Here is a 19,510-nt window from a genome sequence, read left to right as displayed (position 1 = left end):
TGACATCACTTATATATTAGAGGCATTTTCATTATTTATGCCTGCATGAACAAACATTGATGATGAATTAATTCAACCAAAAAGAGAAGGTTACAAAAATGTCATATGTAAATGAAAAAGAGCAAGACTGGTGAGGGTTGCTTCTCCAGTTCATATATATATATATATTTCAGTCTAATTTATATGTATATATATTCCATTCAGTAAAATAATGGAAGAGACATCAATAAAAACAATGCCCCTTATAATTGATATTTGGCATCAAATTGTACTTAATAGGCCTTTTTTTTTTTTTTTTTTTTTTTTTTTTTTTTTTTGAGGAGTTTCACTCTTGTTGCGTAGGCTGGCGCAGTTCGGACTCGTCTCACCGCAACCTCCGCCTCCGGGGTTCAAGTGATTCTCCTGCCTCAGCCTCCCGAGTAGCTGGGATTACAGGCATGCACCACCATGCCTGGCTAATTTTGTATTTTTAGTAGAGATGGGGGTTTCACTATCTTGGTCAGGCTGGTTTTGTACTCCTGACCTCAGGTGATCCACCCACCTCAGCCTCCCAGAGTGCTGAGATTACAGGCATCAGTCACCACGCCCGGCCTGACTTATATTTTAAGCAAGTTCGCAGTTTTTTTCGAGATAGCAGTCCTGGGAATATTCTGAATTCTGGAAAGAGTTTAGAGAGGTTATTGCCTTCTTAATAATTTAGAGCGTCTATTGCTCTGCCAAGTCAGAAGATTAACATTTAATAGAAAAAAATTATATATCTATAATTCAGTCACAGCTATTAGATCAGATGGATTTTGCATTAAGTGAAAAAGATGTTGAGCATTTAAGGACCATTAAACTACAGGACTCTATTGGGTTTTAAGGCCTCGAAGCCAGGGTCCTGCTGCGAAGAGTATTTATTTTACATATACAGAACCCATTAAGGATGGGAAAGGGGCACACATTTTAAAAGAAAATAGGCCATGAAAAAGTGTGATTTTCCACATTGTGAACAGCTACCAAACAGATTCAGTCTTACAATAATTAGTTTTATGCATCATTAAGTAGCTTGCTTACTGGCTAGAAGAATATGGTGAATCCCACTTTAAAAGTGGTACCTGCAGGAAATCCAAGTAGGTACATGTCCTTTGTTGATATTTCACTTAGAGAAACTGTGTTTCTAGTAGTTTCCAGGATTCTTAAGGTTGCTATATATTGTTAGGAATTTAAGTTTGGAAATGCCTTCTTCAGTGGTCCTTAAGGACCATGAAAACAAAGACCCAGAGAGGAATTCTAGTGTTTACTTTTTCTAGCAATGCTCAAATTATCAATGAGAGAGTGGAATTTGACCCTTGAGAAGAATCACTTGCCTATTGGAAGAAAGTCTGCACCATTCTCTTTATTAAGTGCTTATCACAATGCCATTGTTGGAAGTAACCAATATCTTAATGTAAGTTTTTCTTACTATTTACACCATGCCTCCTGCCCCATTCCTACCTCCAAAAAGGGGAAGAGTTCTAGGAGTATAAAAGCAAATAGACTCAGGGAGGATGTGAGAATGGAGTTAATATAATTTGTAACTTTTTCCCCCTACAATGTCCAAACAAATTTGGTGATTTTCTTTCTTGCTATTCTAGGCTTTTTTAAATTGCCTCTGACTAAAGTGGCACCTTATGGGCTGCTTCAGAAATTTTCTTCAGGATTTAAAAATGAAGCCGATTCATATTCAGAGTCTTCCTGCTGAAAATCTGTTAAGCCAAAATAAAAATGACTGCTACTTAAATTTTTTTTCCTCTTTGTTGTTGCTGCAAACATTGTCTCAGTTACAGGAGTTGCAAGATCTCATTTATGCTTTGTACAAATGGAGAGACGAACCATCCCAGGACTACCAATACAAGTCCTAAGGATTAAAGTGTATCTGCCTCAATCAGATAAATGTGAGCTGCACTACTGAGTGTGGAGGCTTTTTTTTTAAGTGAATTGTTCCAGTTGGCCTTAATCCCTAAGCAATATAGCTCCTTTAAAACCATCTTTATTCATTCACACCAATTGACACTTAAAATCCCCCAGCCACTGTTCATCTAAGTCTAAATATAGCTGTTAGAGTCAAATGTGTCTTAAGAGGATTTTCAATCTGATTATCCAAAATACTATTTATTGTCAATGTTTTTGGTGTGCCATGGCCAATCTTATTATTATAATGTCCATAGCATTTAACGGCGGCAGAGCCTAAAATATATCACAGCAATTGGGATAACCTGAAGGAGGGCTTTTCTCCAGCTCCGCGCTGTCGTTCTGGCACAGCTTGTTGTGTGGTTATGAACATCAGAAAGAATTCCTTAATAAGCTCTTGCTCTCCTTCCAGACCCTTTTGGGCAATCTCGCCCTCCATGTTCTCTAAGTAGAGAGCAGTTACCAGGACAACAGAGAATTTGAGGAAGATTTAATTGTGATTTGATGTCTAACCAGAATAAGGAGCTAGTGCCTTGAATTTATATTCTAGGTTTCCAAGCAAATGTCAATATGCATATTTATTATTTTTGCCCTTCCTCATTATAAAAAGGATTTTAAGATGGCTGACTTTTTTTTTCTTAATATGGGAGAGGAGAATGGGGATGATAAATACTAAAAGGATAGGAAAAACAAGCAGCAGCTTGTTATGCAGGAAATATGCCATTTAACATTGTAATATCCTGCTTTTCTGGGGCTGACCTCAGTTTGACTCTCAACTTCCTAGTGGCCAATGTAATGATGAAAACATCACATATGTGAGGCACGGTGTCAGGCAGAACACAGTTATTCCTGGTTCTGAAATTGGCGTGGTGTTCTCCATGGGGCCAGCACATCAATTGGTATACATCTCAAGCTGGAGTACGCAGTGCCTCAGGGCACATGCCGTGGGATAAAAATGGCACATTTCCTAAAGTGCTTCCATCGGACTTAATGGTAAGAAAGCTATTTTTAGTAACATTTTTATTTTGGAATAATTTGTAGTCCATGAGATGACTGACCCAGGGTAATAGTCCACATTTTGAGTCCATAAGGAAAAATCCGTGTTTTTTTTTTTTTCTTGCCTTATTCTTGGGTCACAGATGTTTCAAACAAATTTCTTAAGTAGATATCTGTATCTGTTGTTTTTGGTTGGTTGGTTGGTTTTTTGCCTGCCTTTTATTTATTTTTCATTTTCTGTGTCACTCCCTTCTGGCCTTCTATGCACATGACAAAAATTCTTTGCCTGGCCAAACTTTAGTCAAGCTATTCAACCTTCTCCTAGGCCCATCTGTGCACTTCCTTGTACAACCCAGTTTTAGCAAAGAACCCTACCAAGTCAGTTTAGCAAGAGCCCTCACCCTTGATAGCTGATCACTCTTGACATCTGATCCGATTCCTCATACTCCACCTTCCACAGGTGATGTCTGATCACCCCATCTGTCTTCAGTAAGAATCCTGTGGGTTAGTTTAGCCTTACTCCTGATGTTGTCTTGTAGAAATTTCCCATCCAGTGACCACCCCTCCAACCATGCTCCTTGGCTATAAATGTCCACTTGCCCATGCTATATTCAGAGTCAATCCCAGTCTCTCTCCACTTTTGCAAACTCTGTTGCAGTGGTCCCTATCCTAACACGATGGTCCTGAATAAAACCTTCTTAATGTGCTTTCACAAATGTCACTGAATAATTTTTTCATTAACATGCTCACCATACCGTAAGTCCCCCATTTTTGTACCCTCTTACCTAGGCCCTAAGTGCATGTGCTCTTGTTTTCTTTCCTCTCGCTCACTTCCTTCAAAGATAGGAATTGGTATAGCTTTGAGGCAGGAATTAAAAATCAGTGTGACTAAATTAATTCACACTGGCTGTAAGTTATTGATAACCCACTGTACACTATTTTTGAAAAGCATGTTTAACCCCCAATAATGTATTAATTGGCAGATAATCTTAGGAAAAACAATAAAATGAAGGGAAATGATTCATATTTTAGGGGGAGAGGAAGATGATTTTCAACAAGTAGAGGCATCATCTCTACCTGAATTATGCTCAACCCCTTCACAGTTCTCCCTGAACTGTTACTGCTTTCCTTAGAGTGCTCCATTTCTCTGTATTTTTATAAACATCTTTTTCTAAAAGTGTAGTGTGTAGTGGACGTTTACTGTTCTCTTGACCACGCAGCATACGAACCACCTTTCTACCTCTTGGGAATTCTCTGCCTTATGAGTCTTGATAAGATGTGGAGACATCTGCTCACTATAGAGGCTGAAAATGCCAAACGATTGCTTTTCCCTGACAGAGGTGGTATTGGGGTGCAGGCACATGACCCAGGCCAGCACTTTCTGCCAAATGTGCCCTCAACTTTGACTAGGGGACTAAGCAACGGTAAGAGGCAAGGGTGATATTCGTCTTTCTGGCAGCAACGACAGTTGGGGTTACTGCACGATCAGGTTCCTAGTGCAGAGATGGAGGTGGTCAAAAGATGAACATCTCATGCTTGGTGGAACAGCTGTTTTCTCACCGATAGGCTTTGGAGTATAATTTGGAAACTTGTTTCTGTCTGCTCAGGCCTAAGCCTGATTTTCTACCTTCTCTATAGATAGCCAGTACATTTTAAATAAATCCCTGCCTGCTTAAAACAGCCAGATTGATTTCTATTGCTTATAATTAAGAACCTGGGCTGATAAATTTTCCTTCTAATTTCCAAAGCATAGTCAATTTAGAAAATTTCAGAAAATACAGATAGGAAAAAGGCAAAAATAATTCACTCCAAGCCTACAGATAATCACTGTTTGTGCTTTGATGTTATCTTTTCCAATATGTTGGATGCATCTATTCCAAGGAAGAGTTTTCTGAGGAAGAATAATGGGGCATTGGCTGGGCGTGGTGGCTCATGCCTGTAATCCCAGCACTTTGGGATGCCAAGGTGGGTGGATCACCTGAGGTCAGGAGTTCGAGACCAGCCTGGCCAACATGGTGAAACCTTGTCTGTACTAAAAATACAAAAATTAGCCAAGTATGGTGGCACACACCTGTAATCCCAGCTACTTGAGAGGCTGAGGCAGGAGAATCGCTTGAACCTGGGAGTGGAGGTTGCAGTGAGCTGAGGTTGCGCCACTGCACTCCAGCCTGGGCGACAGAGCGAGACTCTGTCTCAAAAAATAATAATGGAGCAGAATTTTGGGGCCACTTCCATCTTTGTCCAGGGCATCAAATAAATAGGCTTCCAATCCTTGTTTTAAGAGTCTGGGCTTAAGAGTGCTTAATTGAATTGGACTATGTGGGCAAGAGAGGAAGAATGATGGCTTTTAACCTTTGTAGCTAATTTAAGAATTACCTGTAAAACAATGTTAACTCTTTGTCATATAGACTGCAATTTTTCCCCTGATTTTTTTCACTTGTCATTTAACTGTTTTTCTCTCATTCAGAAATTTGAAATTTGTATACAGTTAAATTTATCAGTCTATGGTTTCTGACATTAGTGTTACACCTTAAACATTCTTTCCCAACATATTTTATCTAGTGCTTGTATGATATTGTTTATATTTAAACACATAATCCACTTGGAGTTTGTTTTATGCTATTGTGTGAGGGATAGATTCAGTTTAATTATTCTCCAAATTGCTATACAGTTTGTTGAATTCAGTTATCTTTTTTTTTTTTTAATTCAGTGCTCTCTGTCTTCTCCACTGACTTGTGATGCCACCTGGAGCACATATCAAATTCCTATATATATCTGGGGCTATTTTTTGACTCTTCATTCTGTTCCATTAGTCTACCTATCTTTTACCTCTATTCCAAAATCCATACTCTCACAAGTTCCAAATATTTCTGCAATTGCTCTTGAGAAAACAAAAGGCAATCTTGGATAAATAGGCATGAATTTGGGAAGCCTGCCAGTTGGAGATTGCCGTGTGGGCAGAGAATAAAATGTTCTGGTTAAAACACAGAATTCTGTTAAATAAGAAACTGTGTTGAAGAAATGTACTTTGAGAATTCACAAGGACTGTCAAGACCTTATAGTATCTCAGGATCATCAACAACATCACAACACTGATTATCATTATGCAATGGATGTGCTGATGGGCTCATGAACGGAGCCCAAACAGGATACTGGGTTAAATAGAGTTGACCGTGTTTTTCTTCTTGGATGCTGGGAGTGAAGTGAGTGTTGGAGTTTTTGGAGACAGATGACAAGCCCATCCATTTGCTACATAGATTACCACATCCACACCAAGCTAATGAATGAAATTTGTGCATTAGAACTATTACAGAATGGTAACTAAGACAATGATAACAGTTGGTCAGTAATTGACAGAGCCATCTCCCAGAGGAGCAAACACATTCTTTCTATCCTACTGGGCTCCAAATGGCTTCCTGGCAGGGGAGCCAAGTGGACCCACTGAAGTGGGATTTCTACAGCACACTACAGAACACCGCTGCTTATGCTCGGGTCTTAGAAGAATCATTTGAGAGTCTCCCATATTGGCAGGATTACTTGCACTGGAGGAAAGCCAGTGAAAACCCATACATGCACTGATCAATGAAGTAGCTAGCCATTTGTACTGTGGTGCTTCCCCCACTGATTCCCAGCGAGGACCTTTTTTATTCCAGCCAAGCTGGGACAATATCCCAGCATCATTGCCCTCATAGTACTGGGCTCTCCTGCCTCCTTGCTTTGCCCATCTTATTCACACCACTTGAAATAATCTCTTGCTCCATTTCTTCCTATTGTAATTTACCTAATTCTTCAAGGGACAACCCAAATCCTCCTTCCATTAAGCCTTTCAGAAATTCCCTTTTACAAACCTTTTTCTTTCATTCTGAACTCAATGAAGTTCATGAAACATTTCTTGAGCACTTGCAATATATCAGAAAGGCACCATCTTAGTTGTTGGGGAGTATATTCATTTCCTATGAGCACTTTAAACAAATTACCATAAATTTAGTGGCCTAAAATGAAAGAAATGTAGTATCTCACACTTCTGGAGGCCAAAAGTCAGGAATCAGTTTCACTAGGTCAAAGTGTCAGCAGGGTTGCACTTCCTCTAGAGGCTCTGGGGAAGACCCATTCCTTGCCTCTCAGCTTCTGGTAGCATCTGGCATTCCTTGGCTTGTGCATGTGTCACTCCAACCTCTGTCTCCATGGTCACACTATCTCATTGCCTTCTCCTCTCTTGTCTGTAGTCACATTCCACTCTGTCTCCCTCTTATATGAATACGTGCTTGCATTTAGGAGGGTCCACTTGGATAATCCAGGATAATCACTCCATCTCAAAACTCTTAATTTAATCCCACTTGCAAAGTCCTTTTTTGCCATACAGGGTGACATTCACAAGTTCTAGGGATTAAGGCATGGATAACATCTTTGGGAAGCCATTATCGAATCTGCCACAGAGAATAAAGATATAGTTATCTGTCCTATCATCTATAAAATTTTTACGTGTAAGTTACTAAACCAAATTATATGCTACAGTGAAGTAAGAGTGGTCTTAGAACATTTTGAATCTCTCCAGTGGTGGCTTTCCCAGCCAAGTCTTCTGCTTGAATAAGTGGATATGTTAATAAAATGGTAAATGAAAATGATCTAGAGAAAAAAAGATGAGTGAAAAAATAAATGTACTTCAAAAATATATTTACCTTCACATACTACATGAACTGATTTATATGCATTCTCAAAATGACAAAATTATGGCAATGGAGAACAGATTGGTGGGTGCCAGGTGATGTAGTCTGGGTCTGTGTCCCCACCCAAATCTCATCTTGAATTGTAATCCTCATGTGTGGAGGGAGGGAAGTGATTGAATTATGGGGGCAGTTTCTCCATGCTGTTCTCATGATAGTGAGTGAGTTCTCATGAGATCTGATGGTTTTATAAAGCAGTTTTCCTTGCTCTTACACACTCTCTCTCTTACCAGCTGCCACGTAAGACACGCCTGCTTTTCCTTCCGCCATGATTATAAGTTTCCTGAGGCTTCCCCAGCCATGCAGAACTGTAAGTCAATTAGCCCTCTTTCCTTTAAAAATTACCCAGTCCTGGGTATTTCTTTATAGTGGTCTGAGAATGGACTAATACACGGGGGGTGAAGGGAGTGGGTACGATATGAAGAGATAGCAGGAAAGATCTTTGTGGGGATGGAATAGTTGTGTATCTTGATTACAGGGTGCCTCCAGGGTTACAGGAATCTACATATGTGAGAACATGACCTAGAACTACACATATACATATTGCACCAGTGTCAATTTCTTGATTTTGATTATTTATGTAAAATGTAACCATTTAGTGAAACTGGGTAAAGGGCACACTAAACTTCTCTGTAATATCTTGAAAACTTTTGGTGACTATTTCAAAATAAAAAAAAAATGGTGAAAGTAATTTACCTTGTTCTTCAGAAAAATAAACAATGACTTACAGAAATATGTATAAGACAAAAGTAATTATGTTAGGCAATTGAGGATTAAGATAAAGCTAAGTGTAAAGTCCTCATACCATAACCAAACTTGGCCTACAAAGTCAGGTCTGAGCTTCCTAAGGCCAAAGAAAAACATGAGTCTTTTGGGGTTTCTGTTTGCCCCAAGCTACCTCTTTAATCCAGAGTACAGCACCTTTAGGACTTGAGTGAATAAAAGAGCACTTTCTATTGTTTTGTGTTACAGTAAAACACTGAACAGTGGCCCAGGTCAGTCCTTTCTCTTCTGCATTTGGCTCTGGACATATTCAAGAGCTTGGTGGGCTCATTATGCACCGGCTATGATGATGGTCAGTGGGAAACGCCAGCGCCTGTAGTGGAAAAACTAGCCTGGAAGAATTTCCTAGGTACAAGGCTTATCAGGATCCATCAAAATAGAACTGCGTGGAAGAGGAAGAGAATGCATTGTGGGGAGAAATTAACATTAAATCAAGTAAGACATGTCTTTTAGAGATTAGTGGGCTCACTGGAAGTTGAGACTTTCTGCAGAAATTTCTTCTTACTGGACAGTGTGTGTGTAGATTAGATAATCCAGGACATATTTAATGATGGAGAATTTATAAAGTTTTGTGAAATGTACAAATGTAAACAAGACTTGAGTTTGGCTCCTAGGTATACTCCTAATTATTGGTGTGACCTTGTATAACTAACTTAACCTCAGTACCTAGACCTGAGTGAAAAGAGAGATGCTTTGATTATCACAAAACTGCTTCTTAGCACAAGAGTTTTATGAGGTTCTATTCCTGGTGTGATTGTTGAGCTTGTCGTGGCATTTGGACCAACCATGTTCTTCTTGTTTTCACTGAATTAGGAATTTTGAAGTTGCTTTTTCTGACACTAAGTTTGGTTGAGATGTATGTCTACATGCATGTATTGAACTCCTCACACTGCTGTTATGTAGTCTATGATGTGCTTATGTGCATTAACAGAAAGACAAAATACAGGGGGAATCAAGCAGCTATGGATATAAGAGCTCCCCTCCTGCCTCTACAGTAGTGACTGGAGGACGAGCCCTATGAACAAAGGGGAGGTTAAAGGCAGAGAGTTCAAATAGCTCACCAAGGAAGTAGCAGAGTGACATTACAAGCAGACTCATTCAAAAAGAATTCCATAGTTTTTCCAAGTGGCCTGGCTTACTTCCTGGGTCATTGGTCCAAAAGTTGAAATGGGACTCTGCTACTTCCCCTTAGAATATATTTGTGTAGCATGAACTAAGGGTTTTAATTACAAAAATAGTCGTCTGATTTAAGAAGAAAAGTAATTATTGGAAAAATATTAGGTAACTCAGGAATCACTCAAAAGATGGAAAGACTGTATGCAGGCTATCCAGCCAAACCGTCAGAAGGGCTCGGTGGAGATGCCATTGTTACCACTGAATGCCAGATTCAGGGCGGGTTTGCCATCCAGGCTATTCCTCGGCCATGTGGCTTATACACTAATTGCAAAGGAGGCTGGAGAAGTGGGTTCTGGGCATTATCAGCACAGCTTCATAAGACTCATAAGGTGGGAATACTAAGATTCATAAGGTGGGAATTTCCTAATTACACAAGTGGGCTCAAGCTTTGGGAAGCCAAAAATTAAAAACAAAACACAAATATCTATGAAAGCCCTTCCCTTTGGTAGCTGATACCATAAACCCTGCTCTAATGCCATAGTAAGTTCCAAAACGAATCAAAGCTTATAGAAGGAGGGGTTGTATTATTGTGAAATAACTGAGTGAGACAGCACAGCTAGCTGGACGAGAGTTCTGAGAGTCCTACTGCAGGATTTAATTGTGTCCTGGTCCCGGGTGCCATCTGGTACCATTTGGGGCAGCTGTCAACCCCTAGCTTAAATATCAAGAAAATGATTCTGGATTCTGCAGTCGGAATGGATTCCAGAACAGTTACAGTGCTTCTAAAACTCTCCCACTTGATTGGTTCCCATTTCATTGCCCTGATCCGGGGAGAATACCAAGGATGTAGGAGCATAATCTCCATCTCTCATCCTTCCCAAACAAGGGCTGCCTGGTGTCTGCTATTTCCTACTTGGCTTCATCCTTCCTCCATATTTCTCAGTCCTGCTGCAGAGGATAAGAAATTTAGCCTGCCTGCATTTAAACAGGGGTTGGGCAGAGGACAGCGGCAATCACTAGTTGTGTTATATTCAAGTTTGCAGTATGAGATGGTGCGTTATTTAGAAATTTTACCTTATCAACAATATTTCTTCTTTCTACATTTATACTTCAAAACCAAAATATGACAAAACAAAAATCCCTCCCTCCTACCCATCATATCATAAAAACCAAATTCATCCATTCCCCTGAAGGGAGGCAATCCAACATCTCATAAGAACTGTGACCAGCTCTGGCCGGGTGTCGTGGCTCACGCCTGTAATCCCAGCACTTTGGGAGGCCAAGGTGGGAGGATCACCTGAGGTCAGGAGTTCAAGAACAGCCTGGCCAACATGGTGAAACCCCGTCTCTACTAAAAATACAAAAATTAGCTGGGCATGGTGGCACATGCCTGTAATCCCAGCTACTTGGGAGACTGAGGCAGGAAAAAAGCTTGAACCTGGGAGGCGGAGGTTGCAGTCAGCCTAGATTGCGCCATTGCACTCCAGCCTGGGCAACAATAGCGAAACTCCGTCTCCGAGAAAAAAAAAAAAAAGAAAGAACTGTGACCAGCTTTAAGTCCACATTCAGGGTCTCTGGGGCTGTCTAGCTCTCCTCAACGTATGTCACATTCTCTCTCAAAAATCTGTGATCTGATTTACAGACTAAATTGTAAAGTCACCTTTCCCAAGAGTGAGGGATAATGAAAGGGAAGACAAAGGAAATTAATTAAAACTCATCAATAGATATATGGAAGGAAAAAAAAATGTGGGTAGCCTTAGTTTTTGCAACTGAACCCAAGGCCAGAATTGGTGTTGGTGATTTTTCTCCTCCTCAATATTTAGGATCCACTTTGTCTTTAGCTAGAATCTCAACCAACTGGATTATTTAACTAGGAAAGGTGACCCAACCTTCATTTGTAAGGGATCTAGGACCTCAGTGACTTCTCTATAGAATAGCTTTGTCAGTGGTGTGCTGGATCTATCTTGTACCAGCTTGTGAGAGTGGATTAGTAAATTTTCAACAATGTTATGAGCATTTGTTAAAAACAGCCATTATTAAAAATTAAATTATAGGCTGGGTGCAATGGCTCATGCCTGTAATCCCAGCACTTTGGGAGGCTGAGGTGGGTGGATCATGAGGTCAGGAGTTCAAGACCAGCCTGGCCAAGATGGTGAAACTCTGTCTCTACTAAAAATACAAAAAAAATTAGCCGGACATGGTGGCAGGTGCCTGTCATCCCAGCTGCTTGGGAGGCTGAGGCAGAGAATTGCTTGAACCTGGGAGGCGGAGGTTGCAGTGAGCCGAGATTGTGCCACTGCACGCCAGCCTGGGCGACAGAACGAGACTCCATCTCCAAAAAAACAAAACAAAACAAAAATTAAATTATATAAGCCTACAATTAAATACAGTTTATTAAAAACAAATGTAATAAATACCCCCGCACTCATCACTCTAATTATTTTGCTAGCATATATCCTTCCTTTTGAGATGATGTATGTCTTTATATGTATAGTAGAAATACTATATAATGCTTTGCTGCCGTGCATCTTATCCCAACTGCGTGTTCAGTAATGTCATGTTGATAGATTGAAATTGGCTATGGTGGGGGTTTTTACATCAAGGAAATTAGCAAACACTAAAATTCAGTGCCACTGGCTAGAGTTTCCATTCATTTTTACTACTGAACATCAAAGTACTGGGAGAAGTCCCAGGAGACTCCTAGGTTCCATCTTCACCCTTCTCTGCCTGCATGATGTAGTAGTTTTGTTACAACCACAGTACTATGGGGAGCTAAAATGATCATGTTTTTGAAATGGCCATGTTTTTGAAACCATTGTGTCTGTTGTTGGAAGCATTCTTTTTTCAAGACTAATACCTTTAAACCCAAACAGCCCTGAGTTGTAGGGATAGGAAGCAAAAACATTGTGAATGGATCATTAGGTGTGACAGTGACAAGCAACATTTCCACATCCACCCCTTGGTTCTAGGCCCCATGTACTGGCTCCTGGTTCAAGGCGTACATTGTACCCTGGAAATCAGCACCCTAACCTCAAAAGCTGTTGTCTCTCCATTGATGGTATCACTTGAGTCTGCAATATGTTAATGCATCCTTCTGTAAGGCCAGCTGCCTACGGGTATGTGGTACATGGTAAAACTAATGAATGAAGACCACCAACCATTTTTTTTTATTTTGCAGAAAAATAGATTTCTTAAAAGCAATGTTGTTTTTGATACCAAGCCTGTGTGAGGTGAGTCCGCAGACGCCTGTGCTGCAGCAGCACAATGGGAGTGGAAAGCAAGCCCAAGTGTGTTTCAGGATAGCAAAACACCACCTTCTCCACGAGGTGCTGTGTGAAAGCAAGCCCAAGTGTGTTTCAGGATAGCAAAACACCACCTTCTCCACGAGGTGCTGTGTGAAAGCAAGCCCAAGTGTGTTTCAGGATAGAAAAAAAACCAGCTTCTCCACGAGGTGCTGTGTGAAAGCAAGCCCAAGTGTGTTTCAGGATAGAAAAACACCAGCTTCTCCACGAGGTGCTGTGTGATATCTTAGGTTGTTCACTGCTACTGGCAAGTGGAGCCCATTAGACCAAGAACTCAGGAATCAGAACTTTTGTCCTTTCTTTCACCTGGTCATTGCCCTTAGAAGGAACCACCCACCCCACAGTCCTTGAATTCTTCAGGCTTTTCATCTCTTCTCTGACAATGACCCCTCCCTAGTACCTGTATTTGTTTTCTATGTCTGCATAACAAATCACCATAGGCTCAGTGGCTTAAAACAACACTCACTTATCATCTCATAGTTCTGTAGGTAAGGGGTATGGTACAATGTGACTGAGTCCACTGCTCAGGCTCTCACAACATTGAAACCAAGGAGTCGGCAGGGCTGTGTTTCTTTTTGGAGGCTTTGGGGGAAGAATCCACTCCCAAATTCATTCAGTTGTTGCCAGAATTCAGTTCCTCATGGTCGTAGGACTGGGGTCCCCTTCCTTGACACGTGGCCCCTCTGTCTTCAAGCCAGCAATGACACATCAAACCCTTCCTGGGCATCCAACGTCTCTGGTTTGCCCTGTTCTTCTGCTTTAAGGGCTCATCTGATTATACTGGGCCCACCTAGATAATCCAGGATAATCTCTCTATTTTATGGTTGGCTGATTAGCAAACTTTATTACACCTGCAGAGTCTCTTTCACCATGCAAGGTAACATATTTATGGGAATGATACCGCATCGTATTCCCAGTCCCAGAGTTTAAGGTGTGAGATCTTTGGGGGCCATAATCCTGCCTATCACAGTACCCTACAGCCTTGTCTTCAATCAGTACTTCATTCTAAGTATAAAGTGGTGATAATTTAATCTACTGTTTCTTCTCTGTATGCATGGACTGCCAGAATCCCATTGCTTAATATTAGAGTTTCACAGCCTTCACCTCCTCAAACCCTGCCACAATTTCCCCACTTCCCTCAGGATCTGTTGCCTACAACTACTCCTGGTTTCAATGTCTGTAACATTGAAGGTTCTTAATTACAAGTAACAGAAACCAATTCTGGCTAATTTAGGGAGAAAAAATAGTTTTTGAAAGATTGCATGGGAGCTTACAGATTTACCAGAAGGGCTGGAGTACTAGGCTCAGGGGCTACTTGAATGATGCCACAGGCCTGGTTGAGTGAGAAGACTGCAGCTACTGTTGGCACCACTGTGACTTGATGCAGGAGGACACTGCTAATGTGGCAGCCCTGAGGCCCAAAACTCCATGATGATGCAGCCCCTGCCCCTGCTAGAGAGTCTCATGGCTCTTGCTTCTTCATGTCGCCATGTCCTTTTTTAAAGTCCAGGACAGGAGTAGCTGATTGGCTGAACCCAGGACAACCACATGCAAGGAATCCAGGTAAAGCAAGCTTCCTGTCTGGCCTTACCATGCAGGAAATTTTTAAACCAAGGAAATGGCTCAGATACGTGGCATCCAACACTCTTGAGAAATATCATATATGTTGCATGGACATTATTGGTTTCTAATCCAAATCAAGACATATATTCCCATAAGCAAGGGCAACAAGACAACATCTGAAATCATCACTGCCCTGCCTCGGGAAATAACTTTACCATCTATGAAGTTGCCTAAGTCAGAAAGCATGGGAGTCCACCCGAATCCATCCTGCTCTGTATACCCACTTGTAACCATGCTGCAATATTTCTAGATAGAAGCCTTCCCTCTTTCTCCTCCCAAACCACACTGCTTTAGTGAAGGTACCGGGCACTTTTCATGTGAATGTCTACAGTCTCCCCTCAGTTGGCCATCCTGTGTCTAGCCTCTTTTGCTTCAATCCATTCTCCACTTCACTGTGAAGTGTTACCAGATTGTCTTTTGAAAATGAAAATCTGCTTCCATCATTACCTTCTTTACATTCCTTCAGCGGCTCCCCACGGCCTGGAGATTAAAACCCATTTCTTAGCATGGCTGTTCTTTTTCTGAACCCCATCTGCCTCCCCAGCTTCACGTTTCACCCCCATTCAGCCCCAACCAGCCAAGCTACTGGCCACATTGTATGCTTTCCTCCCCAAGCCCTGTCCCAAGGCCCTCCACTTCCCGCACCTTTGCACTTGCTGTTTTCTCTGGCAGACACACCCTCTCACACGTCCGCTGCCTTGACCCAGTAAGACTTTGCTTTCTTGATGCCTCTCCCCAAGGTAAATGGAACCATTTTCTTAGGTATACCTAGGAGTGTACCACCCTTGCAAACCATTCTCCGCAACAGGCCAGAGGATGGAAACGTGTGTTGAATGAGTGATAAGTGAGTATCTGCTGGAGTTGCTGGGGCTCATCTGGGCACAGACAGTGCAGGGGCTGCAGCAAAACATCATGGGCCACGTGAGGGTTGGGGATAGGGCCTTGGCCTCTCCTAGCCCAGGGCTCAGGAAGAGTGGAGGACGCTGTGCCCCCACCTGTGATTGTCCTAGTTAATGAGATCAAATGCTGCCTCCCTCTGTCAAGTCCCAAGCGCTGGTGAAAGCACTCCTTGGGGGCCTGTTCAAGACCCGCCTCAGGGAGCAACCACACACCTCACTGCAGTCTTCCGAGGTTCACACAGAAGCCAGAGCTCACATTTCCCATAGACTGTTTAGGTATTCTCTTTCTGTAGTCACTTCTTAAGAAGTGTGGGTCATACATTTATGTGGGAAGCAAGAAAATCTTGGTGCATAATGAATACCATATTTTCATGTACATCGCCAGTGGTGGGCAACTCACTGCCAGTCCGTTTCATCAGTCAACCCCTTTTACAAAGCCTTTTCTTAATTTTGACCAGAAATCTGCCTTCCTGTGCCTTCCCTATTGGTCCTGAGCCCGAACATGGTACACGAAGGTGGCTGTGAGTGGCATGGCATTAATTTTCTTTTCTTTTTTTTTTTTTTTTTTTTTTTGAGATGGAGTCTCGCTCTGTCGCCAGGCTGGAGTGCAGTGGCATGATCTCGGTTCACTGTAACCTCTGTCTCCCAGGTTCAAGCGATTCTCCTGGCTCAGCCTCCCAAGTAGCTGGGACTACAGGTGCCCGCCACCACACCCAGCTAATTTTTGTATTTTTAGTAGAGATGGGGTTTCACCATATTGGCCAGGATGGTCTCGATCTCTTGACCTCGAGATCCACCCGCCTTCCAAAGTGCTGTGATTACAGGTGTGAGCCACCGCGCCCAGCCTAACTTTCTCTTTTGACAGCCACATTCCACTATTGATTCTTCTTTAGCTTATTAACCAATTATGCCTCTAGGTCTCTTTCCAGATGCTAAATCAGGCTTGTCATAATGTCATATGCAGATAGCTGAGAACAAAGCAACCATGGGACTTTACAATGAAACCTATTGCATGTTTTCACATGGATTTAGGTTTGTCCTGCTTTTCTAATTCATTCGAGCACTGTACTGCTTCAGCCAGGGAGCTAGAGATGTGAGTGGGCAGGAGATGGCAGGAGAGAGCCAGGAAGGATCTTTTTTGTGGTCTCGCAGGACTGTGAAGATGTGAAGTCACAGAAGCTAGCTGGCCAGGGGGAAGCAGGGGGCTAGGGCATAACTTGCCCTTGAGGTGAGGAACAGAGGGAAGTTACACACACACCCAGGAGCAAGGGGACCAGAAGAGGAAGGATTGCAGGTTCTGAGAGAAGGTTGCTTAAAGGGGGAAGGACTCATGGGCTCACGTGAGAGACACAGCCGATGTACTGGTTGCAGACTTAGGCTTACCAAAGCCAATCCCCAAATCCAAAACCACCTACACGGCAATGAGAGGGGAATGGGCACATCAGTCATGGAACCTGCATAGGGTGGGGTGTGATGCCCTGAGTGCACAGACTGTTTTCAAAGAGTCTTAAGGACAGAAAAATGTTTTTAATTTGAAACTAAAAGCCAAACTGTTGATCCCAAATATGTAGAAAGAATCTGTGGTGTGTATGTGTTTGTGTGTGTGTGTGTCTGTGTACCTATGTGTATGGATGAATGAATGAATATGCTGAGCATGTATTCTGTATTGAGAGAGAGATTAATCAAAAAGTTAATCTTGCTTATATTTTCCAGATCTGCCTCAGAGAGCATATGCTAGTTATATCATTAGACAGTGCAGTAAATGTTATCAGAATTTCCAGTTTCCAAGAATGAGGACACCGTAAACAGAGTGCAGTAATGGGGCCCCTGCTTAATACTTGTATTTGGAAATCTGAGCTGACTCTGTTTAGTGAAGGTGCCCATCATCCAAGGGGTCTGTGCCTTCTGTTGTCCATGGGCTGGCATGACAGTTGGTTTGATAAATGGATACGAAGAAGAAGATGTCACTATTGTGATGACCACCTGTTGAGTTACCAGGGCTTGGGATAAATTTCTGCACATCATACAGTATGGGTTAGGGATCAGGTTTTATTGGGGAAACCCCCAGAGCTGAGACCCAGAGCAAGTTGTTGGGGTCCTTTTCAGATGACACTCCTTGTGTCCTGCAGACACTGTTCTTGTTCTCACAAAGCTCACAGCATCCTAGGAAGACAGACAGGTAACCAGAAGACTCATAATCCACTAGGTCTCACCCCCGTGGAGCTGCCCAGATTTTGCCACAGCCCATCACTGGAGCCCGCCAAGATGTTTTTGAACATTGTTATCCCAAATTTGCTGTTCTTTCCAGATTTGTGTCACCTGCACAGTTGACAAACATGTTCTCATTATCTTCATCCCAATAGCCCAAGGAGCCAGCCTGGCAGCAGACCACCAGGAGGGTCCGCAGGGCTGGTGGGTCCTTAGAGCACTCTGTTCCTTCAGCCAGGTATGAATCTGCCCAGAGGTGCAATCAGCTCAGGTCCTGTTTCTTAGCCCTGTGGGAATTCAGACCTCTCCTGGGCTTCTCACTTTCCCTATGTAGCTCCTGGCCTCTGGTCAAGCCTCCCCAATGGTCCTATTGTACACTAATTGCTCCCAGACCTGTAACCTCCCACCCAGTCCTCTCTCTTCATGCCCACAGCCTCTCTACCAACTCACACCTTCTTTGTCTCGGCCTGAACAACAACCAGTGTCTCCTAACTGGTCTCTTGGCCTCTACTTTCTTCCTCCTCCTACCCCATCTTTCATTCTATAACCAGCATAGTCTTTTAAATAGACATCTGACTGACATATCATTCAGCAATAAAAAGGAACACACCACTGATTCATGCTACCACACAACGAACCTCAAAAACGTCATGCTAAGTGAGAGAGGCCAGAGGCCAAAGACCACATATTGTATGATTCCATTTATAGGAAATGTCAAGAAGTGGTGAATCGATGGAGACAGAAAGCAGCTTCGTGGTTGCCAGGGGCTGGGGGTAGGAATAGGGATTGAGTGCAAATGCACATGGGGACTCTTTGGGGTGACAGAAATGTTCTAAAACTGGATGATGGCGATGGTGGTACAACTCCACGAATTTAGTAAAAATTATTAAATTGTACACAAAACATCTGGCACATGCACAGGGCAAGGGAGGGGTGCGTGAGGGTGGACAGAGTAGTGTTTTGGCGTGCTCTCCAAGGTTCCAGCATATTCCACTGTGTTTTGGTGTGAGGTCATCATGGCGGATTTACAAAGGTGATTGTTATGCTAATTATTTGTTGGAGGGAAGTTTTTTTTTTTTTAAACCAGAGATAATAAATATATTCTTTTTTTTTTGAGACAGAGTCTCGCTCTGTCACCAAGGCTGGAGTGCAGTGGCACGATCTCAGCTCACTGCAACCTCTGCCTCCTAGGTTCAAGTGATTCTCCTGCTTCAGCCTCCTGAGTAGCTGGGATTACAGGTGCCCACCACCATGCCCAGCTAATTTGTGTTGTTGTTGTTATTTTTAGTAGAGACAGGGTTTCACAATGTTGGTCAGGCTGGTCTCGAACTCCTGACCTCGTGATCCGCCCACCTCGGCCTCTCAAAGTGCTGGGATTACAGGCGTGAGCCACCACACCGGGCCCTAATATATTCTTATTTTAAAGAAATAGATCTGACTGTGTTACCCTCTGCTTAACCTTCTTGAACCCTGTGCCTGTGAGACAGAGCCAAGGCCTTACCGCAGCATCCAGCGCCTCCCCAGCCCCCCTCCAGCTGCTTCTCCTTAAGAGGAGGTGTCCCCAACACACCAGGCACATTTAATGCCTCCATCCGCCCTTCATCCCCACTTTGTGTTTCTGCCAAACTTCCATTTGTTTATCAGGACCCAGCTCAAATCATGCCTTGCTTAGTGGGATCAGTGGTTCTTTGGTCTCTGCTCCCATAGCGTTTCCATTAAAGCATGTTGTATACTGTAACACAGCCACTTGTATCTGTTTCTTGGAAGAAAGTATGAGCTCGTGAGCGGAGAGAATGTGTCTTAGTCATCTGTGCTTTCTCAGGACACATAGTGGATGCTCAACGTCTCATTAATTCACTCAACAGCCATCTCTTGAGGGGGGTTTCTCAGAGTAGGGCTTCTCAATCTTGGCACTACTGACATCTTG

The 19,510-nt window shown here is 42.6% G+C and overlaps 2 long non-coding RNA genes across 2 annotated transcripts, besides 1 other annotated feature; one reads left to right on the top strand and one right to left on the bottom strand.

Annotated features, from left to right (window-relative positions):
- On the top strand, window positions 483–18,709 carry LOC107984791 (uncharacterized). The gene is made up of 3 exons (XR_001751595.2): window positions 483–2,925; window positions 7,886–7,962; window positions 8,625–18,709. It is a non-coding gene; the product is annotated as an uncharacterized LOC107984791 (long non-coding RNA).
- On the bottom strand, window positions 16,144–18,209 carry SALRNA2 (senescence associated long non-coding RNA 2). Its single transcript, NR_126482.1, has one exon. It is a non-coding gene; the product is annotated as a senescence associated long non-coding RNA 2 (long non-coding RNA).
- Window positions 17,676–17,820: a silencer, noted in NCBI's record as "fragment chr15:70927977-70928121 (GRCh37/hg19 assembly coordinates)". NCBI's record gives its function as "represses an EF-1alpha promoter that drives an FKBP-Casp9 reporter gene in an ReSE screen in K562 erythroleukemia cells {active_cell/tissue: K562}" and the evidence as "EXISTENCE:reporter gene assay evidence [ECO:0000049][PMID:32094911]".
- Window positions 18,710–19,510: the final 801 nt, after the last annotated feature.

Source organism: Homo sapiens, chromosome 15 (genome assembly GCF_000001405.40).
Source record: "Homo sapiens chromosome 15, GRCh38.p14 Primary Assembly".
Lineage (NCBI taxonomy): Eukaryota > Metazoa > Chordata > Mammalia > Primates > Hominidae > Homo > Homo sapiens.
Note: the sequence above shows the minus strand (reverse complement) of the source record. Positions and strands in the feature narration are given on the sequence as shown.